The 7,074-nt window shown below is 35.9% G+C and overlaps 1 long non-coding RNA gene across 1 annotated transcript in view; it reads left to right on the plus strand.

Annotated features, from left to right (window-relative positions):
* MAD2L1-DT (MAD2L1 divergent transcript) overlaps positions 1 to 4,132 on the plus strand; it is a 100,247-nt gene extending 96,115 nt beyond the window's left edge. The window contains exon 4 of the long non-coding RNA NR_187429.1: positions 2,418 to 4,132. This is a non-coding gene — a long non-coding RNA (MAD2L1 divergent transcript). The remainder of the gene's footprint in view (positions 1 to 2,417) is intronic.
* The last annotated feature ends 2,942 nt before the right edge of the window (positions 4,133 to 7,074 follow it).

A 7,074-nucleotide genomic window follows, 5' to 3' on the forward strand; every position in this document is an offset into this window, starting at 1 on the left:
TACATCAGCCAAAGCCTAGCAAACCCAGTACGAATAAATAATTGTTGTGTTAGGCCATCAATGTTTTGGAGTGATTTGTTATACAGCAACAGCTGACTGATAGTTAACCTCTGTTACCTTAGGTCCGTCTTATGTTTACAAATATATCATTTTTTTTTCTGCCTAACGTAGCCCATTATTTCCTGTCTCTTTTCTGTTTTCTAAATGTGCTTTTCCATTCCTATTGACACAACTTTTCCATTTTTCCATAAATCCTGTTAAGATCCTATTGATGACAACTAATATTTATTTGTTAGTAATCTTTTCAGTTGTAATACTGTCTCTCTTATGGCAGCAATGTTATTTTCATTTTGAGAGAAAGTTAAATCTTAAAAGTTTTTAAAACTTGCCCAAATTCACAGAAGAAGTAAATCAGGAACAGATTTTGGACTCTGGGCTTTGTGATTTAAAAATCAATACTTGTAACTAAGATTCTATATTTGTTTCGGTCCCAATACCTTCCCTTTTGACAATTCCAATCCACACATTTTGCTAATTTTTCAACTCCAAATGCACTTAATATTTTCAGCACTAATAGTTTTTATAATCATATTGAATGTGTTTTTTTAGCATTTTATAACTAATATAGCACATTACAATCTTTTATTCTAGCCAGTCCTTATAACCTCTTTCTGAAGAATGTATGATTATTCTTTTCTCCAGGAAGAAAATAAGATCTCTGGTTAAATAATTTGGTCTGAGCCCTTCAGCTGTATGTGATGGTGCTGAAAAAGAGCTGTTATAAACTGAATTGTGTCCTCCCCACCCCAAATTTATATGTTGAAGCCCTAACCCCCAATATGACTGTATTGAGTTAGAGATAGGGTCTTCAGGAGGGTAATTATGTCAAATGAGGTCATAAGTGTGGGACCCTAATCTGATAACACTTGTGTTCTTATAAGAAGAAGAGACACCAGAGTGTGCATGCTCCCTCTTTTTCTCTCTCCCACTCTCTCTCTGCACATGACCAGAGGAAAGGTCTTCTGGGGACACAGTGAGAAGGCAGCCAACTACGAACCAGGGAAAGAGGCTTTACCTGAAATCAACCCTGATGTCATTTCCATCTTGGACTTCTATCTTGGAATTCCTCCATTCTCCAAAACATTGAGAAAATGAATTTCTATTGTTTAAGCCACCCAGTCTGTGGTATTTTGTTATGACGGCCTCAGATAACTAATAGAAAAACTAAGCTTTTTCACTCCCAATATCTGCATCCTCAGTTTCTTACATCTTTTCTACATTTACCACTAACTCTCTGAGGACAATGATGACATCTTTGTGTTCCCCACCATATGTTATGTGTATAGTAGATTTTTCAATATTTCATAGGCTCCCAGAAGATTTAAAAGTGGAGGAGGTCTAAGATGTTAACTTATCCTCCCATTTTAAAGCTAAACAATTCAGATCCAGAGATGTTCAAAGACTTGGCCAAAATGGCTCTACAGTTAGGAAAGAGCAGAGTATGAAAATCCAGAGGCCACTTGCAGCCTCTGGGAAACGGCACTTCCATTATTTCCCTGGGGGAGATGGAAATGGGATGCATCACCCTACTGCTAATACCGTCTCTTGTTTTTAATAATATTGTATGATGGAGCCCAAACTCCACAGGAACTGAACAGTTGAAACTAGATCCTAATTAGAATAAGGAAAAATCGATACCACTTGATGTACCAAAAAGGAAGTATAATCCAGGCTTTTCAAGGAAGGTGACAAAGCAAACATACTTAGCAGACATATTATTTTATTCTTATTGGCTTACTCGGTGAAAAATTTAAATATGTTCTATTTTTGTGTGTGAGAGTGAAAAATGTAAACATATTTGTGTGGTTAATCTAATTGCGCATAATGTGTTGGTCTTTATTTACCAGAAGGGGAACCTGACTCAGGTGGCCCCAGGACATGTCAGAAGCACTTATATATTTTTCTCCATCTATCAAATCAGTCTGTGCAGTGGGTTCAACTGCTTTATTGTAGGGGCACAATGTGTAAAAGACTGGAGTTAGAACAAAAGCCACCAATAAAACTATCCTTGTAAAAATGATGACAGGATCTTTCTGCTATTATCATGAACTATTTTAAATGCTAAATCAAAAGGATGCCAACTGGTGGCCTTGTTGCCTCTCTCAAGAGAGAAGAAAATGATTAAATTAACACAAAGCTTTAAATCCATTCCCACTTGGCAGAGAGGTCTGAAACTGATCATCATGGTAGCATGTGAAAACTTGCAAAGTGGTGGTTAGCGGTACTTTTGTGTAATGGAAAAATAACACTCACAAGTTGATAATGCAGGCTGTCATTTTTATTCAGTTATTCATCCAACATTGAGATCCCTAAGTTAGATCCCAAAGTTTCAGTCTCTTTTTCTCTTGATTTTGAAGGTGAAGGTTGATCATGGTGATGTGAAACTCTACCAAAATCTCCATCTGCAGAGCGGAGGCATGTTGCTGTAGAAGCGCACTGGAAGGAAACTCAGATCACTGAGGTCCAGCCTCACTGCAGCCTTTGGTTCTTTCCTTGGCCCATGAAGAGTCTCTTAGCCTCACTGAACCTATTTTCCTCCTCTGTACAATGTTCACAATTAAGTCCTTGCTTAATGCACAGTAGTGTGGGGAAAATATTAGAATACCATTTACATTTGTATGATCTTTGATAACTAATGAAACCCTTCTCCTCTGGTTTTTCTTTTTTTCTCATACAAATGCAATGAAGTAGTTGGCCTAGGCAAAGAATTTATGACTGATCTCAAAAGCAAATGCAACAAAACAAAAATAGACAAATGAGACTCAAACTGAAAAGCTTTTCCACAGCAAAAGAAATAGTCAGCAGAGTATACATATGTAACTAACCTGCACAATGTGCACATGTACCCTAAAACTTAGAGTATAATAAAAAAAAAAAAAAAATCTGTAGGATAATATCATCAGTGAATTTACATTTAAAAATGCTAAATAAATATGTATGTATTTCAGATTTCAGAAATATATTAAAAATCATGGAGTATGATTAAAAAAAAAAAAAAAAGAAATAGCAGAATAAACAGACAACCTATCAAAAGGAAGAAAAGTATTTGCCAACTATGTATCTGACAAAAGGGTAATATCTAGAATTTACAAGTAATTAAAATAACTCAACAAGAAAAATACAAATAACCCCATTAAAAAGTGGACAAAGGACATGAGCATTTTTCAAAAGAATACATACAGGCAGCAACAAACGTGAAAAAAAAGTTCAACATCGCAAATCATCAGTGAAATGCAAATTGAAACCACAATGAGATAGCACCTTTCACCTGTCAGAAAGGCTTTTATTAAAAAGTCAAGAAAACGTAGATATTGGTGAGGATGAGGAGAAAAGAGAATGCTTATACACTGTTGGTGGGAATGTAAATTAGTACAACCTCTATGGAAAACAGTGTGAAGATTTCTCAAAGAGCTAAAAATAGAACTACCATTTGATCCAGCAGTTCCACTACTGGGTATTTGCCCAAAGGAAAAGAAATTAGTATATTAAAAAGACACTTGTGCTCGTATGTTTATCACAGCAATATTCACAATAGCAAAGACATGAAATCAATATATGTCCATTAGCAGATGATTGGATAAAGAAAATGTGTATACATTCTTGGAGAAACATATATATATATATATACACACACACACACACACACACACAAAATACACACACATATATTATACACATACACTCATGCACACACACCATAGAATACTATCCATTTATAAAAAATAATGAAATCATGTCTTTTGCAGTAACATGGATGGGACTGGGAACCTTTTTTTTTTAGGTTAAATCACTCAGAAAGTCAAGTACTGCACATTCTCACCTAGTAGGAGCGCAACAATGTGGACACATGGACATACAGAGTAGAGTAGTAGACACTGGAGACTCGAAAAGGTGGGAGGGTGGGAGGTGGGTGTGGAATGAGTAATTACCTGTTGGGTACAATGTACCCTATTTAGGTGATGGTTCCACTAAAAGCCCCGACCTCACTGTTACACAATATATCCATGTAACAAAAATGCACTTGTACTACCTGACTCTATAAAAATTAAAAAAAATACAATGAATTAGGAAACACAGTAATTTGTTTTTCTCATTTCAGACTGGGATGCCCAGAGGTTTTACATGCTTAAGGTGAGGAACTGAGGCCAGAGTCACCTTGTCATAGTCATTGCGTGGTGCTTTTTGGCTAAAGTACAAATGAGTACTATGTATGTGAAGGAGAAGTATTAGGCTATGATGTCTCTAATTTTTAAAATACTATTTTGACAACCTAATTAATAATATTGGGCTTAATTTTAAGGGTAAGTAATGTAATTATATTTTCACATACCTCAGTTTTGCTATAGTAGATTACCAAATTTGTATGCTTCATTTTCTACATCCATAAAATGGGATTCACAATATGCAATAAATGAAAGGTTGTGATAATTCAATGTATTAAATCATGTAAATGCATAGGACTCTTCATAGCATATGGAAAGGACACAATAAACATAATTATTATTTTTGATCTTAGATAAATAAAATATGTGTGAACTTAAATGCACAAACCACACATGCATGCACAAACACACAGGCCTGAACACAGGCAAGTAGTTACTGAATGCCAAATAATCATTAATGTAACAAGTGCTTGGGGTTCAAAGGAGGCGTAATCCTCAAAAGCATGCTGAAAGAGGTGGTCTCTGCACTGCATTGAAGGATATGGAGTATTTCAGTTTCAGTAATAGAGAAAAGAGAACAGAGGAGAGCCATGGATAAATGTGTAGAGGTAAAAAAGTGCAACGTGCAAAATATTCTTGTTTTGGTAAAAAATATGTTTGTACATGAATAGTGGAAAAGTCAAGGCCATATTATAAATCAGTGGTCTTTAAATGCTTCACTGGTAATTCAGATATGTCATCCGCTAAATAGAGGGAAATTATGTATTGTTTCTACGTAGATGATTACATAAATTTATCAATGGTTAGGTTCTATTTAAAAAGTAGTTAGTTGTTCAGTGCACCTTTAGATGTACATGAGGTATACCCTATTATAAGGGAATGTTTTAAGAATCCACCTAACTCTACAAGAGCATTATGTATTTAAATGTATGCTGCATTGACTGCTGATTCATATGGATACATTGTCACAATCTGGCTTTTACATTTTTTAAGGTGCAGGGTCAATGATAGCAGTGTCCACTAGGTTTTCTGTGCTTATTCAGGGTGAAAGCTTCTCAGCAAAACTGGTTGGTGAGGGGGTGGAAATGAAATGGATAATATATAAGCAACATTATCGGAGCTGTATAATCTTTCTTTACCTTTTCCTTCCAAGTATCCAATGATTTAATACTTAGTACCACCATTTAATATAAATCCCCAAACTCCCTTTATAGGAACTATTGATTAATCAATTATAAACCTAGATTAGGCCAGGTACTCAGATAGATGCTGAGGGTGGTTATAATCAGGCATGACCTCAAAGAGACGTGTGGTTGGGTAAAGTATAAGATAGATGTACTAGGTTCATGTAAAACAGAATGAGGGAATGGCTGTTTTACTGAATTGTACTCTGATTTTACTGTGAGTGGAGTAATTGACTGAGCCACCTCCTGCTCACAAACCCAGGAAAGTTGGATGCCTTGCTGACCTCTAAAGTTACCTATTTGCTATCTCCCGGGAGTGCTTCATTCTGTCATCTCAGTATGGCAAAATCTTAGCCATTTCTCAAGAAGCTATACATTTGGGCACACTCGTGAGGATCTTTGCCACCGAATCTCTCCACCCCAAGGTTGTTTCATCCTTAGAAGAGAGGTGATAATAACTACAGAAATATTTACAGGACCCCAGAAATTAGAGGGAGAAGTTTAAAGGAGGAATTTCCAACTTCTCATTAGGAATCCCCAGAGCAGCTCAGTGTGTCTAAGAAGAGAGGGCCTGTAATAGTGCCAGAGTCTTCCATGGCATGGAGGGGCTATGAAAGAGCCCTGGCAATAAGGATGAGAGAAGACTGAACACAGAACCGATGATGTAGACCGTGGGAGAATTTTGCACATCCTAGATGATCCCAATGAGGCATTATCTGATGACCGAAAATCATGGAACTAAGGTGGTAATAATTTTTTAATGTGAACCTGAATGTGTAACTTGAAAACATTACAACTGCTATATGGATCACGGGATCACGTGTCTCCTCTTTCAGTCTTCTCTATGAAGAAATTGTCTGTCTTCTTTACATGTCTGCTCCTTGTTTGAACCTTTCTCATGGCAGTGTTTTTTTTTTTTTTTTTTTTTTTTTTTTTTTGGTTGGGGGGAGAATATATTAGACTAACTAATGTTAGCTGCTTGTTCTTCTTTTTTAGATTGTAATTTTCTTGTCTGTTTGTGTCCCAATTTGTCTTGTTCTATCCCCATCCCTTGTGGAACCTAACACAGTGCCTTGTACTACTCACATAGTAGGCACTTGTGTATATTTAATAATATACTCTGAAATTAACAGAATTGTGAAGAAAGAAATACCATTTAGTTTGTATTCCAGAAAAGATCCTTTCATACAACACACTATAAGACAAGGGGGTATCACATACCACTTATCACATGTTTGAGTGGATTGGAACACAAACATAACATTTAACTGACATAATTGGAATATTAGCAAAATTCTGTCTGTGACATTGCGATAGTTTTGCAGAAAATTTACTCCAAGCTCTGTAAAGCAGGTGAAGCGTCTTGTGGCTCCACATGGGTAATCATTATGTTTTCATAATGCCATTTTCCTTACCCATCATTATAGAAGTCTTTAATGGCAGGGCACTGTTTTAAAAAATGTGTAACCATTCCACGATGATTCAGATTTCCACTCACAAAACATTATGTAAGGGAAAATCTTGGCTGAATAAACATTAAGAAAATGAACAGAGAAACTTTAGTATGAAACCTGTAATTCTAAGAATTTTCTTCTGTCCTGAGTCTGGCCTCATTGCAGAGGGCTGTTGGAATAGTTTTTGTCTTTCCTTTCCAATTTTTTATTTTA

Source organism: Homo sapiens, chromosome 4, assembly GCF_000001405.40.
Source record: "Homo sapiens chromosome 4, GRCh38.p14 Primary Assembly".
NCBI lineage: Eukaryota > Metazoa > Chordata > Mammalia > Primates > Hominidae > Homo > Homo sapiens.